We start from the raw sequence: 23,768 nt of genomic DNA, 5'->3' as shown, positions 1-23,768 counted from the left end.
TTCCCACAGTCTCCTGTTCATACAATTACAGTTAACCCTGAACAACATGGGATTTAACTGTGTGGGTTCACTGATACACAAATTTTCTTCCACCACTAAGACAGCAAGACCAACTTCTCTTCTTTCTCCTCCTCCTCAGCCCACTCAATGTGAAGATAATGAGGATGGAGACCTTTATGATCCACTTCACTTAATGAGTAATAAATGTATTTTCCTTGTTATTTTCTTAACATTTTCTTTTCCCTAGTTTACTTTATTATAAGAATAAAGTATATAATGCATGTAACATACAAAATATGTGTTAATGGACTGTTTCTGTTATTGGTAAGGCTTCCAGTGAACAGTAGGCTATTAGTTAAATTTTGGGGGAGTCAGGCTGGGCGCTGTGGCTCATGCCTGTAATCCCAACACTTTGGAAGGCCGAGGCAGGCTGATCATTTGAGGTCAGGAGTTTCAGACCAGCCTGGCCAACATGGTGAAACGCTGTCTCTACTAAAAACATAAAAATTAGCTAGGCATGGTGGTGGGTGCCTGTAATCCCAGGTTGACCTGGGAGACTGAGGCAGGAGAATCGCTTGAACCTGGGAGGCAGAGGTTGCAATGAGCCAAGATCGTGCCACTGCGCTCCAGTCTGGGCGACAGAGCGAGACTCTGTCAAAAAAAAAAAAAAAATGGGGGGAGAGTCAAAAAGTTATACTTTCAACTGACCCCCGAGGGGGGTCAGTTCCCCTAACCTCTGCCTTGTTCAAGGGTCAAATGTAATGTTTTTCTTCTTTCTTTATGGCTGCTCTATCCTTTGCTGTTATGTCCTAAAGCTCTACTGTAAGTTTTACTTCTCACCTTTCTCTATTTCTAACTTGCTGTCCACAGGTTGTTTCCTGATTTGAATTAATTGTAGAACTCTGCAAGCTTCCCAGGGGAAATCCGATTACTAAACATAATGTATAAAATTAAATTTATCGCCTAAGAATAAAAGCTTCTTTTCTAGGGAGTAAAGTACATAGGTTCTGTGATAGCTCTTTTCATTATGTTTGGTGGTGTTTTAATTATTACCGTAATGAAAATATTCTAGAAAGTAAAACTTTGACTGCTAGGCAAGTAGAACGATTAATATTATATACTCGCTATTAGAAATATTATTGGACCACCTCAAACCTAAATACATTTAAAGAAACCCCCCTCAATGAAGAGTATGATACAATCCATTATTATCCATTATTTTGGGTAACTTTGGGTAACAGCTGCCAGATAAAAGGATAAGTGTATAATTGAATATCCTCAATATTCCTTAGGAAGATCACATCAAGTTTCACGGACATGCATATTTTGAAGAAAATGTCTTACCCTACAATTTCAGGAGTGAGTCTATATATCAGCACCCCCTGCCCCCAGGAAAAAGCTTTTATAATGAGATGGGTCACAACCATCTAATAGAAGAAGATGGAAAGAAGGGATTATGGTTTTTAAAAACCCAGCATGATTCCTATCATGAGACAATTTTATAATGTAAATATCTTGAGTGTCATATTTAATGGGATGAAAGAGTTTAGATATTAAATATCAATTAAAGCAAGGTATTACCCAGAGAAAGCTCCTTTTTTATACCCTTTTGGAATGTTGGCCTCAACAATGAAAAAGTGAAAAATATATGACATATATTAAAAAGTTTAAAATGTTATCTAATTAAATTTTAATAAAAATTATAAATCTCATTTAACATTTCTTAACAAAATAACTCAAATGATATAATTCTCCCTTCAATTTTATCTTGGGTCACAGACTTTATCCATCTATGATCCTATGATCATAAATATATATATATATATATATATATATATATATCCCATTGCTATCCCTTGTTTCTAAGGCTATTACAGGAGAGGATTATGCTTCTCTAAAGAAAAAGCAGAGCATGAGTTAACATGTTCCTTGTAACATGGGAACTCTAACTGCTTTACCAAATACACCCCAAAACTTATGATTCAAACTCAACAGAAGTTTATTTCTTGCTCACGTAGCAGAACTAGATGAATGCAGACTTTTGAAATTCAAAGAGGCTTTAATATCTTTAATGTGTGGCTTCCAAGGTTAACCTGAAGGCGGTCTCCATTCCAGCTAGACAGAAGGAAAAAAGAACTCTGAGGGATCTTCATGGGTGATTTTATGGGCCAGGGCTGGAAGTGGTGCCTATTACTTCTGTTCATTCCATTAGTTAGAACTCCGCATATGACCACACCTAAATGCAAGGGTGGCATAGAAACAGTCCAGCTGTAGGCCCAGAAAGAAGAGGAAACAGCAGAGTTTTCAATGATCAGCTAGCAGTCTGCCAAACTCATCCAAGTAATTTCTTAACAATGGAGCTCTCTATCAAGTACTTCCCAGAAATATGTATAATACTAACAATGGTGATGACTTTCACAACTGCACAGCATTTTTAAAGATACTTCAGCATATTTTATCTCATTTATTTCCCAATTCTGTGAAGTAAATGAAACAAGCAGTACACTCATGAGTTGAAACTGAGGTTCAAATAATGTCACATAATCAACAAAGGTCTTAAAGCTCTAATGAATTAAGGAAGAAAAACCCTAGGCCTTCTAACTCCAACTTTAATCTTTTCACTATTTCAAAGGGTCTTGTAGTAATACATTACACAGCATCTGTTGTGTGCCAGGAATTATGCCTGGGATATAAAAATGAATGAGATTTGATTCCTACCCTCAACAATTTAATAGGTATGTAAGAAGAAGATGAACACATTTTACCAACAAAAAAAAAAGTATTTGGGGATTTCCCCAAAGGTGCACTGAAAGTCCTTAATTTGCAAAAGGGTTGTGTTCCAATAGTTCCTTTTAAGGATTAGAATGAACTTAGATTTCTGGGAACTTCCTCTCTATATCCCTTCTCTTATTTAGTTCTCAACATAGTATAAGAGACAAAATCTGCATGGTAACAAGAAAGTAGGTCAAGAAAGGAACTCCACGAATGGAAAGATCCCCTTTTTTGGTGGTGTTCATCTATTCAACTCTCTAATCATTATATATACATTATCTTAAAAAAACTTTCAATAAATTTATATGACAGAAAAATGAATACTCCTTCTACTAAAGGACTGAATAAAGGTTTCCTGTATAAACTGAAGAACATTAGGACAAACTAGAATGATTACTATCAAACTAAATCCCACATAAAGTAGCAACATTGAATATTCAACTTCAAAATACTCAGGGAAATATGAATTAAAAACAAAATACCATTTTCACTTATTATATTTATAAAGATTAAAAAATAAATAACCTGGTCAGCTAAAGTTCAGTGAGATGTTTGTTTCAGATAGTTAGTAGGAATATAAAATAGATTATAATTTTTCTGGGAAGCAATTTAGTAGTCTTTATTATGAACCTTAAAAATCATCCATTCCATGTAGCTTAAGGACTCTTCTGAGAAGTTATTTGAAGGAAATAATCTGAAATGAGGACAAAGATTTATGTGTAGTTTTTTTTTTTTTTGAGACAGGGTCTCACTCTGTTGCCTGGGCTGGAGTGCACTGGCGCGATCTCAGCTCACTGCAACCTCTGCCTCCCAGGCTCAAATGATCCTCCCACCTCAGCCTCCCAAGAAGCTGGGACTACAGGTGTGCACACACACACACACACACACACACACACACATTTGGTCGAGAGTGGGTTTCACCATGTTGCCCAGGCTGGTCTCAAACTCCTAGGCTCAAGTAATCCTCTTGCCTTGGCCTCCAAAAAGTATGGGATTACTGGTGTGAGCCACCTCACCCAGCCTTATGTGTACATATAATCAATAGAGTATTAGAAAACTGAGATATCAGTGCAGTCTCAGCATAAGGTATGAGTAGAAAAAGATGACAAAAAACTGCTTTGTACTTTTCTGTGCAATTTTTCTTCAGTGAACATGTATTATTTTTCTAATAAGAAAAAACCCAGAACAATGACAGTTATTTATCATATACTAATTCTCTGAGATATATTAGTTTTCATTTTCTCATTTTCAAAATTCTTTAGAAAATGGCTATATTATTTTATGATTTAAATATTAAGAAGACCATATATACAGAAATGTTTCTAACAATGTGAAATTTTAAAAAACACTATGAAAGTAACAACTATGTAAAATACAAATTTTATACAGGAGGACAAAGAATTAAATGTAAGAGCAGAAATGTAAAAAGTGTTAAACTGATGAATAAATGGAATTTTTTCATTTTTCAAACTGTTTGTTATCTTTTTTTTTTTTTTTTTAGACAGAGTCTTGCTCTGTCACTGCTGGAGTGCAGTGGTGCGATCTCAGCTCAGTGCAACCTCTGCCTCCAGGGTTCAAAGTGATTCTCCTGCCTCAGCCTCCCAAGTAGCTGGGATTACAGGCATGCACCACCACGCCAGGCTAATTTCTGTATTTTTAGTAGAGATGGGGTTTCACCATGTTGGCCAGGCTGGTCTCAAACTCGTCACCTCAAGCAATCCACCCGCCTCGGCCCCCCAAAGTGCTGGGATTACAGGCGTGAGCTACCATGCCTGGCCTATCCTGTCTCTTTGATTTTAGAAAAACAAATTAACTTCTCATAAAAGAAATACTAATCTCATTTAAAGAAACCACATATACAAAAGTTGCTTTTGGGTTCTATAAATCCACAGATTAAAGCCAAAAAAAGTAGCTTTTGGAGATTTTATAAAGAAGTTACAAATAAGAGCTATTCTTCTAATAACAAATTACAAGGGATTAACATGTGTTTCTTGTCTTAGATAATATTTACTCCAGTCCTATTACTAATATACTAATTCTACACTGTCCTTCTGAAGTACCAAGTAACATTAGCTCTATCATACCATACATTAGACCTTTGAAATTAAAAAATAAATACAACTTTCAGCTTATACAACAAATCATTGGTGGAATTACAACCTACTAGCCTATCATTTGATTGAAAAGCAAGTGTGATTGAGTGGTCTATAATGAAAGACTTTCTGAAAGCAGTAAAAGTCAGTAGTAAAATAGAGAATTCTCTAGTTACCCTCTCAGAATAAATAAAAAGGAGACTTTTTTCCAATGTAAATTTGGCTTTTAAAATTATTCAAATAATAAATTCTCATTAGGATTTAATTTGAAGGCTGGGTATGGTGGCTTATGCCTGTAATCCCAGCACTTTGGGAGGCCAAGGTGGGAGGGCTGTTTGAGCCAAGGAGTTCAAGAACAGCTTGGGCAACATGGCAAAACCTTGTCTTTACAAAAAATTTAAAAATTAGCCAGGCATGGTGGTGTGCACCTGTAGTTCCAGCTACTTGGAAGGCTGAAGTGGGAAGATCACTTGAGCCTGGGAGGTGGAGGCTGCAGTGAGGTGTAATCTCGCAACTGTACTCCAGCCTGGGTGACAGAGTGAGACCCTGTCCCCCCCCCAAAAAAAAAATTGATTTGACTTTTATAATAGTGGGTAGGAAAAACAGATTGGGGGAAAAGGTAAATGGTCCGATAGTTATATACTCACAAAAATTAAACTGAGAATTTTTAAGATGATTAAAGAAGTGATTAAAAATAATCCCCTATCTTAAAAAGTATTTAAACAAATCAACAAAAAAGACAATGCAATTAAATGGGTCAAAGGACAAAAAAATTTATAAAAGGAATGCAAATCATCATCATATAAAACTGTACAAAGTAATTAAAGAAATGCAAATTGAAGTAACAAAATGTAAACATGTATTTGTTAATTAAAAATAAAAATAGAAAAAAATTTAAAAGTAATGAAGAATATTATTTTCTGCTATCAAGTTGGCAGAGATTTAGAAAATAATATTCCTGCAAAATATGAGTTCTTCCTGGTGAAAATTAACGGGTACTCCTTTTCTGGAGGGTAATTTGGCATCCTACACCGTAAGATAGGTAATGTACATACTCCTTGACCCAAGAATTCCATTGCTAGGCAATTACACTGAGGAAATAATTAGATACATGCACAAAGATGTATGTAGAGGGATGCCCTCTGAAACATTATTTTAGAAAGAGAGACAGGAAGATGGAAATAGACTAAATGTTCAGTAATAGGAAATTGATTAAATAAAATATGGATAGTCAAATGCACAAATACTATTTAACTATGCTTTACATAGTTTTCAAACTTACGGAAATGTTAACAACATGTTAAGTAAAAAACACAGATTATATGCATACATGACATCAATTTTATTACATACATATAAAATATATGTGAATAACTAGAAGAAGATGAACCAAATATTAACAGGCATTATCTCTGGGTCTGGAGAGTGGAAGTAAGGATGTTAATCTTCTTCTTTGGGCTTTTCAACAATGTTTACAATGAAGATGCATTGACTTCTATAACTGGGGGAAACCATATCAATACTATGTTTACTTTCAAGAAGAACTTAAAATAAATTTTAGTATTGTTTCTCAGTTTAATTCATCCAATATTCATCTCTTAATCTGTTTAAAGTATTTAAAAATTTTTTTAAAATGAAGTTTCTGATGGAATTTCCAAGTTTATCTTTCGATCTTCTAATATCTCAAAATGGATATATAGGCTATTTCTCTGTGAAGGATGGGAAAGTATTCTACACCAATGTTCTGAATAAAGAAAGTTTTATATAATTTATTTCGAAAAGATGGAGGTGGAAGGTAGAAGAGGTACTAGGTACATTAAAGCGGAAAGAACGATATCCTAATGAATTCTGGAACCCATTTGCCTCCAAGGAAATGAATCTGCCATCAGCAGTGGGTCATAAATCAAATGTCATCATGTGAATCCAAGAAGATAGGCCAGTTTCAGTTATTTCCAAATAATTGTTTTCTTAATTGACTGGTACTGAGATAGTATTTCCCAGAGGGTTTAAAATCAGAACACATTAAACTCTGTTAAAGTTAAAATTTCTACAGAATATAAACATTTACACAACTCTTATTTTGCATGTTTGTTCCCACTCCCAAAAAAGAGCAGATCATTTTGAACAATAGTTAGCAGAATACTTTGACAAATACTATTTGTCTGGGGTGCCAAAAACTACAGAAAAATTCTATGAAAGTATATATATTCCATGACAAATACAATTTTATTTCAATACAAAATTAAAGATCATACATAAGACTAGATACAAATATTAGCGATTGAGTTATTTGGTAACAAGTCCTTCTGTTGCACATAGTACAGTTGCTTCTTGAAATCTGGAATATTTCACAGTACAAGATTAATACCAAGACTACTGAAAGGAGTCTTAAAATTTTAAAGCAAAATAGAAAATTCAAATGTATTTTTAAAATGAGTTCTCTTCAAGAAACATCATAATCAGGGTGTAATATGCCTTTCTCTTGTTTCTGACTTTGCTATAAAAATGCAATTTTAATACCTTAACAATTCTGAAAACCTTTTAAAAATCTTACATTTTAAGGTGGTAAAGAATTAGGCCTAACTATAAAATCCCCAAAATGCACATGGAAAGCTTTTTAGCAAACAAATACAGTTTTCAAAATGTCCTTGTTATCAGTTTTGCATTCCAAGTTCTCTTAAGGGTAAGTAAGCAGCCTGACACCCACATGCCATTTTAATAAGGTCATTTTTAGAACCTCTATGAAATATCTTTATGATTCCACAGACTATACATTTACATGCTCTTTAGCTAAGCAATATGAGAGGTATATGGTGTTGAGGAAAACTCAAGTTATCTATTATAGAAAAGGTCTGAAAATAACTAGTTATGGTTATCTTTGGGGTTGTGATTTTATGGGGAATTCTTTTCATTTATTTATAAGTTTTTTTTTTTTTCTTTTTAATGAGACTGGGTCTTGCTATATTGACCAGGCTGGTCTCCAACTCCTGGCCTCAAGCAACCCATCTGCATTGGCCTCCCACTGTGCTGGGATTACAGGTGTCAGCCATCTAGCCTGGCCTCCTATTTATACTTTTAAATTTCTCAATAATAAACACGACAGATTTGGTAATAAAAATACACTACTCTTTAATGTAAAAATAATACCTTGTTACTTAGGAAATTTCCTTTTAGGACTTTACCAGCAATTTCTCCTCCCTAAAAAAAATGTAAAATGCACACTCAGTTATAGGCACAAAAATATTCACTGCGTATTATTTACTATAAACAAAAACTGAAAATTGCATAATATTCATTAATAAGGGAATTGTTAGGTAAAACGATATTCATCCACAAGGTAGAACACCATGCAGCTAACAAAAATGTTTTTATAAAGTTATATATAATAAACAAAACGCCTAGGTTATAATATTAAGTAGAAAAAAGAACATAATTTATATATATGTACCATGTGCTTTCATCTATGGAAAAAATGCATTTAAATAAAAAGACTAGTGCCATAATGTTAAGAATGGGTTATTCCCATTAGTGGAGGAATTATATGTATACTTTTTTGTTCACTATACTCTTATTTTTTATATTATAATAAGAGACTACTTCTTTATTTATTTTTCTTTCTTTTGTCCTGAAAGCAACAAGAAAGAAACTGTTTCTTAAATAGAATACAAAAACATTTAAGGATACAATTGGCTTTTCTAGAATTTTACTTAAGAGACAAAAAACTAGCTATACCACTAACTAGAAGGAAAAAGTTATTTCCTAATACTGTATAGTATTGATAAAATAAACTACTCAAGGACACTCACTGAATAGCAAACAAGCAACCACTATTGCCTCAAAGTTTAACAGCTGACATGCTATTATTCTTTTCCCATTATGCTAATTTTATAAAATTAGCATCTCTAATTCATAAACCACAAACTAATACTACAAAGCCTTTGCAAAGCGTATTAGGAAGCTGGATTCTACCACCACCTGTCTTCCCCTTTGGATGCAAAATTCACATCGAGATCTAACACAATACCACTTCAGATGATGATGTAATTATATTTCATAAACAATGTTAAACTGTTTGATAGATTCGACCAAAACGAAGATCTCTTTTGTCCACTATTTTTTTCCTAAAAGGGAAACAGACTTGAATCTCCCAAGTTCTGTAGAAATACATCATTTGTGAGTGATATAGAACAAGAGACAGAGAAGAACCAGTTAAAAATAAAAGGGTCCTAATTGCTCATTACATAGATGATTAAGCCCTAAAATTTGCCTCAGAGTCAAACTTGGGAAAAAAGACCTCTAAGTTTTAAAACACACAAACTTGTATCGATGTTAAAGCATAGTATATAAAGAAACTTTTATCGTCAATAAGTATAATTGTGATATTTTGCTGATATTATTTTTATACCATATTCATTGTTCCACTATAACTACTGTAGTATGTTCTGCCATGAAAACTGAATTTAAAACAAAAGTTTTAATTAAACATCTTATAGTTTTTAAGGTAGTTGTATTTATCAAAAACACACAAACATTTATCCAGTGAATGAACGAATAAGGATAAATAACTGCTGTAAAAAACATCATTAACAATGGAATTGTTACTCCCATGGAATACTTTAAGAAACAATTGGGCCAGGCGCGGTGGCTCACGCCTGTAATCCCAGCACTTTGTGGGGCCAAGGCGTGTGGATCACTTGAGGTCAGGAGTTCGAAACCAGCCTGGCCAACACTGTGAAACCCCGTCTCTACTAAAAACACACAAATTAGCCGGGCATGGTGGTGAGCGCCTGTAATCCCAGCTACTTGGGAGGGTGAGGCAGGAGAATCGCTCGAACCCAGGAGGCAGAGGTTGCAGTGAGCCGAGATCGCACCACTGCACTCCAGCCAGCCTGGGCAACAAGAGCGAGGCTCCGTCTCAAAAAAAAAAAAAAAAAATTCAGAGCAACTTTACAACCTAGAGATCCAGAGAACTTTTCTGTTCAAAGATTGCTTTGACATTTCACTTATCCCTCTCTACCTTAATATCTCCAATCACACCCACCAAATTACCACAGATACCCTCACCCATCTCAAATTCACACTATTTCTTTTTATATGTTAATAACAGCTTCTTTAGAAAAGCACAGGGAAATGGGTTCTGCGGACTAAACATTTAGCTTTTAACGTAAATCATTTTACACATATATACTACACACACGATTTAGGATCTAAGTCCTCTTTCACGATCTGACCGGTGCTTGTTCCAATTACAAATGAATGCATTGATCTCACTCTGATAGCCAAACCACGGTATTACTCCATAGTGCCCCCTAGCTCTTTAAGATATATTAGTTTAAAACGGACACCATTTGAATTGTCAACCTCAAAGTGTCAATCACTCCACTTAAGCAGCTCTTACTGTATTAACTAAATTTGACCTGATAAATAATAGATGACTTAATTAAATCTTGCTATTAATCCCAGTAAGAGCTGATGAGAAAAAAATATTAAGAACTGATGGATTTGGAATTCAACCACACGATATACTACAGTTCAAAAGTTTTGTAGAACCTCTCTATAACTCACAATTTGTTTGTTTTTAGAAAGTCATTAAGCAAGGACTCATAAAACATGCATTTAAAATGCCTTCTTTTATGTAACTTAAAGGGAAATGGCATGGCATAGGCCATGGCTCTTCAGAGGAATGGAACCAATTTCTTCATTTTAAAAAATGCTGGGATCAGATTAAGATTTAACAATATCACTATAGTCAAGTTATCATTATCATTACAAACAATCTAAATTGCTAACTGGTAAATCTGTGAGAAGAAAATATCTGACCTTGGTCCTGATTCTAAAAGATAAGTCAGATTTGGACTGGTTCAGGACCAGCAGGGGAAGGCAAAAAGTAAAGAAGACAGAATGACATATACCCCTTCCTTTTGGAAACGGGATTAAGCAAAACTTCTAAGTACAACTGCAACTCCAAAAATCACTCACGTTTGCAAGTGCCCTTCGCCTTACATAAGTCATTCTGAAAAGAAGTCCTACTTTATTCTACACTCAAACTCCAGTACATTCGTACTAACAAGGGAAAAAGCAGAATAGGACCAAAACTGGAGGGCAAACAAACAGGAAAAGGATGAAACTCCAGGAGGAACTACAATAAGGCAGAGTAGAGTACGTCAAAACCACTAGGTTTTATTCTAAAGAATGGTTTTGTTTCTACCGTTCTTCTAAGGTATTTAATTTGCACGTCTTAAAATAGAGACCCTGAGGAGAGCAGCTTGAGGCAGTGGAAGGAAGGGGGGCGGGTTAGGTAAGAACAGAGACTTGTGAGAGAGTATGTGCGGTGCATTAGAATGTGCAATGAAGAGGGTGCAGGATTCACCGTCAGGAAGCAGTTGAGGGCTTTATGAGTAGAGGCAGAATCTGATATGGTTTAAAGAATGCGTATTACAGCCAGAATGCACACCTGGTACAGTGACAACCCTAGACAAGTAGAAGACCAATCCACCCACCGTGCAAATGCAGAGATGACCATTTTAACCAGTTCTATTGTCTGGGGCATTAAATGGAAATGCCCCAGGCAAGAGATCAAGCTAGCCAGACACCAAATCAGAGACACCCTGGGCCAAAAGGAAGGAGAGGAGATGGACAGTGGCCGTGGGGGTATTCCCAGCCATGGGGCCCTTCCTCGTCGGGCAGGGGAGGGGCGCCGGGGTCACGGGGGCCGCACGATCCCCCATCCGCGGAGCCCAAGCGCAGGCGGTCCCCTCCTCGGGCCGGCGACGTCTCTCACGGCGCAGCCTGGGAACACCGAGACTTCCCCTCCCACCCCACCCCCAGCCGAAAGCAGGGAAGACGCGGAACTTGGGCTCCGGAGCGGAGGCCACAGACCAGGTCACGGCCCGGGTGGGGGGCTCTGGGCGAAATTCCGGGTGGCCACCGGGGGTGGCGTAGGGGAAAGCAAAGCCCCGGCTGGTTGCGTTTCCAGTCGGACGACACTCGGGTCCGGGTGCCCGGGCCCGATCCCTTCGCTGCTCACCGACCCCCTGCACCTCCTGGGTCCTCACAGTCCCAGGCCCGCTCGCCTCCGCCAGTGAGGCGGCCTCTCGGGTCTCCCCGGTCCCACCACTGCGGCCGCCCCTCTCGGTAAGCAGCTCCTCTCCCGAACCCTCGCCTCGGACGCTCCCGCCGAGCCCCGGGCCGCACCTCCGTCTTGGTGATCCGGTGCCGCCCCAGCTTCACCACAGCGAAGTTGCCCTTGCCCAGCGTGCCCTCGATGTCGTAGAACCCCACCCGGACCGGCCCGCGCTGCAAGTGCCTCGGGCCATCCGCCATGACCATGCTGGGCCCCGCTGCTAGACACGGCGGACAGGAGCGCGGGCGGGCGGGAGGGTTGGCAGCGCGGCTTGGCTTGGGCGACGGCCGCTCCGCTTGCTCCTTCGCTCCTTCGCTCCTTCCCTCCCGCTCCCCAGGGCCCAGCCAGGCGCGCGCCGCCGCTGACGTGCGCCGACGTCAGGGGGCCGGGGCAGGGGGGCGGGGGCGGGCCCGAGCCTGGATTGGTCACCATGGCGACCGAAGCACCGCCGACGTCGGCTGCTGGAGAGTGGGGGACGGCGCACGGGGAGGGGCGCGAGCCTGGCCGGCGCGCTCCTTCCGGGCTCAGACGCCCTCCCCTCGCCCCTCCGCCTCACCGCTGCCAGGGGCGGGGTCGCTGCTCGGCCCGCTCCGTTCCTCGGCCTTCCAGGCGAAGGGCAAGAGCGAGCCCTGGCGGACCGTGCGGAGGGGTGCAGAGACCTGGATGCGGCCTGCGATCTCCTTCCCCGCCCCGGCGTTCTCCGCCCACCCGGGGTCCTTCCCGCCAAAACCTCTCACCTACAAGTACAGCGCGTCCTAAATTTGGCACCGGCAAAGAACTGTGGCTGAGCAATGCGTTGCTCACAGGCTCCTTTCTTTGTGTCCTTTTCTCTTCTCGTTGCTATATATAATAAAACCCTCCACGTTTTGATGTCTCCGAGGAGTCATTCTGACAGCAGTGCAGTCGCTTATAGACTCACAGAATGTCAATGTCAGCGCTGAAGAGATCTTGGAGATCACTTAATCCAGAGATTTGGAGCCTCATGTGAGCTTCAGAGTTTGGAACCCCCTAAAACACAGGCCAGTTTTTGCTTATGTGAGCATGTCTCTGGGGAGATGGACCCGTAGCTTCTGTCAGATTCCCAAACGCGTTGGTGACTCTGAAAAAGTTTAGAAATATTTCTCTAATCCAATTTTTTTCCCCAAAGGACGAAGAAGACCTCAAGGAATAAAGGGAATTGCCTAGGTCACACAGGCAATAGTCGAGGTAGGATTATAAATCACACCACGCTTCCAAATGTGACTCAAGGAAACAGGGACAGTGACACCTCACTATTTTGAGATGTATCATATGCCTTTATATCTTGGTTTCTAAATACCATTCTCCACCTAAAGGAGCCAGACTCCGTGGCGAGATGGCTCATTCGAGGGCAGAGACAGGGAAAGTATAAAATGCCCTTGAAAGATCCTGCTCCTTAAAGCAAGGAGATTTCTTGGCTATGTCAAGGAAGATATGTCAAAAGAAAGCAGATGGCTCGAAGGTGCTCCCCCCTTACCAAATCTGAGACAGTTTGAGTATCAGGAATAAATAATGGGCCGGGCTTAGTGGCTTACGCCTGTAATCCCAGCACTTTGGGAGGCTGAGGCGGGTGGATCACCTGAGGTCAGGAGTTCAAGACTAGCCTGTGTGAAACCCCATCTCTACTAAAAATGCAAAAATTAGCCGGGCGTGGTAGTGGGCGCCTATAATCCCAGCTACTCGGGAGGCTGAGGCAGGGAGAATTGCTTGAACCAGGGAAGCAGAGGTTGCAGTGAGCCGAGATCGTGCCACTGCACTCCAGCCTGGGCGACAGAGCGAGACTCTGTCTCAGTAAATAAATAAATAAATAAATAAATATAGAAATTGATTCTAACACATTGAATTTTTTAAAAGAATCGTAGAGCATACTTACTTTTAAACAGAAAAATAAAGAGGGGAGAAGTGAAATGACGGTGGAATGCCAACTAATATATGTTAGAAGAAATGACAATTAGCAAATCATTTGGCAGCCATTACAGTAATAATGGATTCAGACAATTATCAATAGATGTTAAAATCATTGAATAAAATTTGGCTGGGGAACAAGATATTTGCACAGTCTTTGGATTTCTTATTCATGATAAAGGGTTAACAAGGGTACCTCTACAGTGGAGAAATCTGACCGACACTACCCTAACCAAATGATCAAAGTTAATGTCACCAATTATGTGATAAAATGACATGATGTGCCTCCAGATGTGAGGCACTGAGGTTACAATATCTCTTAAGTAGTATTCCTGTCAAAAATGCATATTATGATCTAGAAACATCAGAAAGATGCAAACTAAGAAACATTCTACTCAACAACTGACCTGTATCCTTAAAAAACATCAGTGTCATGAAAGTCAAAGAAAGGCTGAGGAACCATTCTAGATTTAAGGGATTTAAAAAGGCATGGCACTAAAGGCAACATGTGGTCTTGAAAAAACATGCTATAAAGGAATATTTCAGAACAACTACTGAAATTTGAATATGGATTACATATTAGATAAGATACTGTTTCAGTGTTAAACTTCTTGAATTTTATAATTGTACTGTGATTATAAGAGAGAGTATCCGTTATTAGGAGATACACACTAAACAATTAGGTATAAAATTTTTGGCCGGGCGTGGTGGCTCACACCTGTAATCCCAACACTTTGGCAGGCCGAGGTGGGCATATCACTTGAGGTCAGGAGTTCAAGACCAGCCTGGGTGGTGGTGCGCCTGTAATCCTAGCTACTCTGGAGGCTGAGGTGGGAGAATCGCTTGAACCTGGGAGGCGGAGGTTGCAGTGAGCCAAGATCATACCACTGCACTCTAGCCTGGGTGACAGAGTGAGACTCTAACAAAAAACAACAAAAAAAAACCTTTTGATATATGCAACTTACTGTCAAGTAGTTTAGCACAGATAGATAAGGCAAATGTGGCAAAGTTTTAAATTGATAAAATAGGTAAAAGGTAGGTAAAAGGGTATGTGGTAGATCGTTGTACTGTTCTTGCAACTTTTCTGTAGTTTTAATTTTTTAATGAAAATTAATATATTGTGTATTATTTTATTTTAAAATTTATATATATATATTTTTTAGTGCAAGATGGCTTTTGGGCCCTCCACTGCTCCCTGTGCTTCTGCTTTTCACTCTCCCCAAGCAATACCTTATTCTACCATGAGGTATGTTGTTTGCAAAAGTGAGGGGAGAAATGGGGGAAAGCTGTAAGGCTGATCAGATTTCTGAATTGATGGGAGTGGTGTATGAGTGGTCCTCTAACTAGTGAGAGGTATTCTAATTAGGCTAGGAACCTACATATGTATACCAGTTCAAAAATAGTTCCCATGTGCATTTTGCCACTTAGATGATTGTATTTTTTTTTTTTTTTGAGGTGGAGTCTTGCTCTGTCGCCAGGCTGGAGTGCAGTGGCATGATCTCAGCTCACTGCAACCTCTGCCTCCTGGGTTCAAGCGATTCCCCTGCCTCAGCCTCCCAAGTAGCTGGGATTACAGGCACGTAGCACCATGCCTGGCTAATTTTTTGTATTTTACTACAGACGGGGTTTCACCATGTTGGCCAAGATGGTTTCGATCTCCTGACCTTGTGATCTGCCCGCCTTGGCCTCCCAAAGTGGTGAGATTACAGGCGTGAGCCACCGCGCCCAGCCAGATGATTGTATTTTAATTGTTCTGGGGGTGGGTTCCTTTGGGAATCTGATGAAAAGCCACTTAACCAAGAACCAGAAAATACGCAGGGAGACCCACTACAGTGAACAACCTCATCCTTTAAAGTATACCTGTTGAATGGAAATGGATTCATTTGAGTATTTAAATTAGATAACCAGGCCAAACACCTACTTGCACAGTCTGGGAATAAGAATTGATTTGGGGCTGGAAAGAAGAAAAAGGGAGGACAGAGAGTACCAAAAGGTTTTGGAAAGCTGGAGTTAGTGTGAGCATGCTGGGTGTCTACAAGTTAGAGAACAGGAGGCCAGAAAGAGGGAAGAGACAGAAGGGGCTGTGCCAAAAATCAGCCTTACTCATGTGGAAATGCAGTGGGCGTGCTACTCAGCGTTACTGGTAGGCTGTAAATGAAACCCTGAAGAAATACATATATGTGGACTAATTTAGAATACTGCAATCTTGGATTCTGTGATTCAACTCTTTCCTTAATCCAAAAGACCTACTCATCCCTGTCCTATTTCAACCCTGCCTGTCTCTTATGTATTTTTGTTTCCAATTAAATGATAGCTGTATACATTTTAGCAATTATTAATATTATCCAACTCCTGCTTTCCTTTTCTCTTCCTCTCTCCCTCTTTCTCCTCTTCTTTCTCTTTCCCTACACACACACACACACACACACACACCATCCTCAGGAAAAAAGAATAAAGATAAGAGGGAAAAGGAGAAGAAAGAGAGCTTCATACAATCCCCATCTTTCTTTTCCGTCTCTGGTTTTAGTATCAGTGAGGGAAAGCACTCTAGTCACCAAATTCCTTTTTGCTTGAGCTTTCAGATGCAGCATTCCCAGCTGATGCTGTGGGTCTATGATATTTAGCATTGAGTTGGTTAAAAAATGTTAACAGAACACTTTAAAAGGTAAAAAGGTGTACACAGAGAAAGAATTAAGTAAGATAGTGAGAGACTTAAGAATTAATTCTATAACCTACTTAGAATAAAGTGGATTATAAATAAATATGTGGAATGAGGAGACGAGTTAGCAAAGAGGTAATGAAAAAGTGATCTGAAATGTGAGGAAAGAAGACTTCATGGCTCACAATTCTGTATATTATTTTGCTGAAGCAGACAGCCTGTGAACCTGAAAAAAAGATATGTACCATTTGTCTCCCAGCTACTGGGGAGGCTGAGGTGGGAGAATGGTGTGAACCCAGGGGGCGGAGCTTGCAGTGAGCCGAGATCGCGCCACTGCACTCCAGCCTGGGCTACAGAGTGAGACTCTATCTCAAAAACGAAACAAAACAAAACAAAACAAAACAAAAAACTAGGCTTAGGCCTGGATTTAGATTTAGTTCAAATAAAAAACTGATGAAATCTTTATTAGACAACTTTGCTTAGAAAAAGTAGATTACAAAGCTAGAATGAATACTTTGCCTCTTATATTAACAAAGACAGAAGTACACAAGAAAATCCAAATCACTGACCTGTGCTCATTCCAAGGGCTTCTTATTAGTATAAAGTACAGCTATTCATGAAACAAACATCAATCAGTCAGGTTAATCAACATGTGGATGCCACTACATGTAAGGTACCATTATGGAAATAAACTAGAGGATTGAAGTTATTTAAAGAAAACTTTCTTTAGTACTTTTATTTTTAAAATAGCTTTATTGAGGTGTACTTAATATATAATGAGATGCACACATTTAATATATACCATTTGATGAGTTTGAACATATGCATACACCTGTCAAACCATCACTACAATCAAAGTAATAAATATATCCGTTACCTCCAAAAGCTCCCCACTGCTCCCATGTTTGTGTGCCAGGAGCGGGGGGCTGGGTGGGGGTTGGTAAGAACACTTGAGATCTACTCTCTTAAATTTTTTAGTGTACGATACAATATTATTAACTATAGGCACTTTGTTGTTCAGATCTCTAGAACTTATTCATCTTGAATTACTGAAGCTTTATACCCATTAAACAACTTGCTATTTCTCCCTTCCCCCCAGCCCCAGGCAACATCATTCTATTCTGTTTCTATTAGTTTGACTATTTTAGGTAGCTCATGTGAGTGGGATCATGCAGTATTTGTCCTTCTGTGACTGGCTTATTTTATTTAGCATAATGTCTTTCAGGTCCATCCACGTTGTTTCATATGGCAGGATTCCCTTCTTTTTTAAGGCTGAATAATATTCTGGTGTGTGTGTGTGTGTGTGTGTGTGTGTGTGTGTGTGTGTATGTATATTTCTTTCCATTCATCTATTGATAGACATTTAGGTTGTTTCTATATCTTGGTTATTGTGAATAATGCTGTAATGAACATAGGAGTGCAGATATCTCTCCAAGATCCTGATTTCAACTCCTTTGGATAAATACCCAGAAGTGGGATTGATGGATCATATGGTAGTTCTATTTTTAATTTTTTGAGGAACCTCCATACTGATTTCCATAATGCTGTACTGATTTACATTCCTACTAACAGTATACAAGAGTTCTGATTTCTCTATATCCTTGCCAACACTCATTATCTTTTTTTTTTTATAATAGCCGCACTAACAGGTGTGAGATGCTATCTCATTTGGGTTTTGATTTGCATTTCCCTGGTGATTAGTGATGTTGAGCACTTTTTCATATACCTAGTGGCCAATTGTGTATCTTCTTTGAAGAAATATCTATTCAAGTCCTTTGCTCATTTTAAAATCAGGTTATTTGTTGTTTTTTTTTCAATTGAGTTGTAGGAGTTCTTTATATATTTTGGATATTAGGCTCTTATCACATATATGGCTTGCACTTCTTTTTCTCTAATTCCATAGTTGCTTTTTCACTCTGTTGATTGTTTGCTGTGCAGAAGCTTTTTAGTTTAATGTGGTCCCACTTGTCTATTTTGGCTTTCATTGCCTGTACTTTTGATTCCATATCCAAGAAATCATTGCCAAGACCAATATCAAGAAGATTTTCCCCTACATTTTTTTCTAGGTGTTTTATAATTTAAAGCCTTTCATCCATTTAAGTCTTTAATCCATTTTGAATTGATTTTCTATATAGTGTAAGGGTCTAGTTTCATTCTTTTGCATGTGAATATCCAGTTTTCACAGCACTATTTGTTCAAGAGACTATCCCTTCTTCATTTTGTATGGTTGGCACTCTTGTTGAAGATCAGTTGACCATATATGTGGAAGTTTATTTCTGGGCTTTCTATTTCTTTTCATTGGTCCGTATTTCTGTCTTTATGCCAGTACTATACTGTTTTAATTACTGTAGCTTTGTAATATATTTTGAAATTAGGAAGTGTGAGGCTCCCAGCTTTTTTCTTCTTGCTCAAGATTGGTTTGGCTATTCAGAGTCTTTTATGGTTACATATAAATATGCATTTTTTTTCAAGCACACATGGAGGATTCTCTAGGATAGATCACATGTTAGGTAACAAAACGAGTCTTAAAAATTTTAGGATGACTGAAATCATGCCAAGTATTTTTTCTGACCACAAAGGAATGAAACTAGAAATCAGCAGAAGGAAAATTTAAAAATTCACAAATACACGGAAATTAAATAACACACTTCTGAACAATCAATGGGTCAAAGAAGAAATCAAAAGGGAAACCAGAGCCAGGTGTGGTATGTGCCTGTAATCCTTGCTACTTGGGAGGCCAAGGTGGAAGGATTGCTTGAGCTCAGGAATTCAAGGTCAGTCTGGGCAACATAGTGAGACCTCATCTCAAAAAAGGCAGGTGGGGAGGGGAATAAAAAATATCCTGAGACAAATGAAAATGAAAATACAACATGCCGGAACTTATGGGATGCAGCAAAACCAGTACTAAGAGGGAGGTCTTTAGCTAACCATGCCCTAGTTTGGTTTTATCTGTGATGGATCTTCTCTAAATGAAAAATGTGTGACTCTCTAATTTTTTAAAAATAATTTCAAAATTTTTGTATCTTCTCCCAGATGACAACTTTTCTTAGGACCTTAAGTTTGAAAGGGATCTTAGAGAGTATCATATGAGTCCATCTTCCTATCTGAAACATAAATTTCTAAATATTTGATGGGTGACATTAAGCCTTGCTTTACTGCTTCATGCAGGAACCCAATCTATTGTGAGACAGTTGGCATCAATGGAAAGCACTTCCTTATTATTGGTTTCATATCTGCTTCTAACTTCTGCCTATAGATTTTAGTTCTTTTCTCTAGAGCAAGACATTACATACACACACACACACACACACACACACACACACACACTCACACACATTCTCTCATATTCTTTCTTCAGTTTTCCAGGCAAAAGATTCCCAACTTCACTGTCTAGCTGACTATTTTTACCCTTATTTTTGTGCTTCTCTAGACACTAGTTTGTCAATGTCTCTCTTAAAATACTGTTCAAAAAACTGAACATAGTAGCCCAGGTGTAGTCTAAGCAGTACAGAATACTGGCCACTGACCAGTCGCTCCTTTGATCTGGACTCCATGTTCATATTAATTCAACCAAAAATTGGGCTAGTTGTCGTTTTAGTAGCCACATCCCACAGTTAAGACCAAGGCGAACTAAAACCCTTGGGTCTTTAAAAATAACAATTATTATTGTATTAAGTCACCCTTATAGTTTTCTTAGGCAATTGATTTTTTAAAAATATAAATGGAAATTCTGATAGTTAAAATGTCATCTTGTTGATTTTGCTCCTTGTTCCAGATAAAATAATCATTTTGATTCTTTGCTCGCCACCTATCATATTACCTAATTGTTAGTTTTCTAAGCTGTCCACAGATTCCACCAACATGTTTTCTATATTTTTATTGGAGTCATTGTACTTGGAGTCACTCCTAGTACAAATGTATGGCTCATAGTAGGTTCATGACTGTGGATTGGTAAACTGGTAAATAGGGCAAAGTCTGGGCCGCAGTCCTAGACCTGGCCACTAAACATCTTCCAGTTTAACTTCCATAATTTATTGGTCCACCTTCATTTGATTTTTTTTTTTGTTGTTGTTGTTGTTTTTACTTTTATTTTTTGAGACGAGGTCTTGCTATGTTGTCCAGGCTGGTCTCAAACTCTTAGGCTCAAGTAGTTCACCTGGCTCAGCCTCCTGAGTAGTTGGGACTACAGGCATGAGCCACTGTGTCTGATTTGGTTTTTCATATAACTCTGAGTTACAGGAAGATTCTATATTCATGCTTCTGGAAAAAGATTTTAAAGAGGGGTCAGGTGTGGTGGCTCACGCCTGTAATCCCAGCACCTTGGGAGGCTGAGGCAGGTGGTTCACTTGAGGTCAGGAGTTTGAGAGCAGCCTGGCCAACATGGTGTCTCTACTAAAAATACAAAAATTAGCCAGGTGTGGTGGTGTGCACCTGTCGCCCCAGCTACTCTGGAGGCTGAGGCAGGAGGATCACCTGAGCCTGGGAGGCAGAGGTTGGAGTAAGCTGAAATCGCACCACTGCAATCCAGTCTGGGCGACCTAGCAAGACCCTGTCTCAAAAAAAAAAAAAAAAAGATTTTAAAGAGGCATCTTGACCTTCTAATACCAATAATTCAATGTGTAAGCTACTTAACTCTCACTTACTTTCCCCTTAGTTCATTCCTATTATTGGAGTATTTTACTAATCTTCCCACCTCTATTAGATCATGAATTTCTTTTAGGGTAAGGATCATATCTTAGTAATTTTTGAAATTCCAAAACTTTTTAGCAGAATTCAGCAAGTGCTGTTTAGTTTGACATTTATTGCATTCATGTGCTAGCCATCGTGGTAGACACATACAAACATAAGTCAGACACAGTCCTTGCCCTTGAGAATTTTTTGGTTTAGAGAGGGAGTTGTAAAATCCAACTGCTTAAGTGTGAACTTTGGCTCTGCTACTTACTAGCTGGTGACCTTGGGGAAATTACTTAACCTCTGTTTGCTTGAATTGCTGTTAAATAGTGCTAAATAATAGTGCCTACCTCAGAGGATTGTTGTGAAGAAGGTAGACACACAAACAATTTTAATGTAATGTGGTGAGAGCTAAGATGAGAGATTTGGACAGAGAGCTCAAAGGAGACACACTCAGCTCAGTTTAAGGGTCTTCAGGGGAGGCTTCCAAAAGATGAAAGCTGAAAAGAATTATAAAGGTCTAGTAAGAGCCAGATGAAAAAAAATTGGATGAGCATTTGAGGAGAAAGAAACAGAACGAGCAATGGTCCCAAAAGTAGGAAGAGACATGGTATGTCAGGTAACTATCATCAGTTGTGAACATCTAAACTCAGTAATGACAGTGTCCATAGATAAAACAGGAAGACACCTGAGACCAGGTCATGGGAGGCCTTCTCTGTCCCTTCAGCCAGATGGCTGCTCCTAAACCCCTCTGTAGAGAAATTCTGAAGTTGCAGCTGGGTAGGAAACTGCTGAAGTGATAAATTCCAACTGTGCCAGTGATAAGATGTGAGGAATGGAAGGGAGGGAGATGTTGAAGATTGCTCCCAGGTTGTTGACTGGAGTGAACAGATGCAATCAGTTACTGAGAGTTTACCACATGCCATTCACTGTGCTGGGCACTGAACATACAAAGGTAGATAAAATATGGTCCCAGCCCTCAGGGAGCATATAATCCATTTCATTTAGATATTTAGCCCTTATTCCTCTAATTATTACAGCCTAATATATATAAGGATGTAATAAAAGACTGTTAAATAACTTGCAGAAATCAATACATATTATGTCTGTATGCTGGAGCCAAATGAATTGTGGTAGGAGTCAAATGTTTGCATTGCCATTTATGGGCTCTGGATACATAATTCTGGGGCTCAGAGGAGAAATCTAGGGTGAAAATAGAGAGATTGGTAGTACTGATAGTTGAAGTCAAGGATGTGAGTGGTGTCATTCAATGGGAGTATAAAGAGTGAAGGAGTCTGGGCTTGGTGGCGCATATCTGTAGTTCCAGCTACTCGGGAGGCTGAGGTGGGAGGGTCACTTGAGACGAGGAGTTCAAGGCAGCAATGGTCTATGATCATGCTACTGCACTCCAGTCTGGGTGACGTAGCGAGACCTCATCTCTTAAAGAAAATTTAAAAAAAAGGAGAAGGCAAAATCCTACAGTATTTATTCAGCACCACAGGAGTGGGCAAATAAAGAGAAGCATTCCCTCCCCACCAAAGAGTAGAGACCAGATAAACAAGGAGAATGGATAAAGAGGGAAAAATACCTTAAAATCTAGGGAAAAGAGACCTTAAATGAGAATTTCAAGGTGGAAGGAGTACTTTCAGTCTCTGAAAAGATGTCAAGCAAGATGAAGATTGAAAGGAATTCACTGGATTTACTGACAAAGAGATAATTGATGATCTTTGCAGAGGGTTTCAGAGTACTGGGGGCGGAAGCCAAGCTAGAGTGGGAAGTGATGAAGAAAAATGAGTGTAGATCGTTCTTTCAAAAAATGTGTCTGTGAAGGAATGAAGATAGAAGAGGATGTAGAGTCAAGAGAAGTTTGGTGGTGAGTGTGTATGTGTGAGTGTGTGTGTGTGTGTGTGTGTGTGTGTTTTAACTGGTAGAGTTAAGCATTTCTGGAAAGAGCCAGAAGACAGAAAGTTTGAAATAAAGGTGATTAGAGATAACCTACAGAGGACAAGGGAATCTACAACAGAAGAGACTCTTTAGTCAGGGGTAGACCCCTCCTTTACTCTGATATGGGTGGGAGAAGGAAGCAAGGGTAGCTTTGCTTGCTGGTTAAGTGGGTAGTGCACAGTGCCGGAAGTTTAACCTTGGCATCTATTTCCTCTGTGAGGTAGGAAGCAGATATCTGCAGGGAGTGTGAGGATGGAGGAATAGGAGGCTTTCGATGAGGGTGGAGGGATGGTAGGCTCAAAGGTCTGGAGTGAGCCAAGCATGTTGGTGCATGCCTGTAGTCCTAGCTGCTCAAGAAGCTGAGGCAGGAGGATCACTTGAGCCCAGGAGTTCGAGGCTATAGTAAGCTAGGATTATGCCACTATACTACAGCCTGGGTAACAGAGTGAGACCCTGTCTCTAAAAGAAAAAAAAAAAAGAGTCTGGAGCTTAAATTAGATGAGAGTGAGGGGGCATGAAAGATCTTGAGAAGGGATGTTCTATGCTGGCATATTTGTATTAGATATTGTTCTAGATGGTGATA

At 39.1% G+C, this 23,768-nt stretch overlaps 1 protein-coding gene across 2 annotated transcripts in view, besides 3 other annotated features; it reads right to left on the bottom strand.

Annotated features, from left to right (window-relative positions):
* The window catches only part of SIK2 (salt inducible kinase 2), a 128,407-nt gene extending 116,098 nt beyond the window's left edge, over positions 1–12,309 (bottom strand). The window contains exon 1 of one of the 2 annotated variants that reach the window (NM_015191.3): positions 12,060–12,309. In NM_015191.3, coding sequence (NP_056006.1) covers positions 12,060–12,194 — 135 coding nt within the window. In that variant the 5' untranslated portion in view covers positions 12,195–12,309. Of the gene's footprint in view, positions 1–8,012; positions 8,422–12,059 lie in introns of those variants that run through there. The other variant, XM_017017417.2, reaches the window with a different exon arrangement.
* Positions 11,544–11,703: a silencer, noted in NCBI's record as "silent region_3899". NCBI's record gives its function as "represses an Ori minimal core promoter by ATAC-STARR-seq in GM12878 lymphoblastoid cells {active_cell/tissue: GM12878}" and the evidence as "EXISTENCE:reporter gene assay evidence [ECO:0000049][PMID:35858748]".
* Positions 12,254–12,693: a silencer, noted in NCBI's record as "silent region_3898". NCBI's record gives its function as "represses an Ori minimal core promoter by ATAC-STARR-seq in GM12878 lymphoblastoid cells {active_cell/tissue: GM12878}" and the evidence as "EXISTENCE:reporter gene assay evidence [ECO:0000049][PMID:35858748]".
* Positions 12,784–12,923: an enhancer, noted in NCBI's record as "active region_5517". NCBI's record gives its function as "activates an Ori minimal core promoter by ATAC-STARR-seq in GM12878 lymphoblastoid cells {active_cell/tissue: GM12878}" and the evidence as "EXISTENCE:reporter gene assay evidence [ECO:0000049][PMID:35858748]".

The sequence above is a fragment of the Homo sapiens genome, chromosome 11 (genome assembly GCF_000001405.40).
Source record: "Homo sapiens chromosome 11, GRCh38.p14 Primary Assembly".
Classification (NCBI taxonomy): domain Eukaryota; kingdom Metazoa; phylum Chordata; class Mammalia; order Primates; family Hominidae; genus Homo; species Homo sapiens.
The sequence above is the reverse complement of the archived record's forward strand: the minus strand, read 5'-3'. Positions and strand labels throughout refer to the sequence as shown.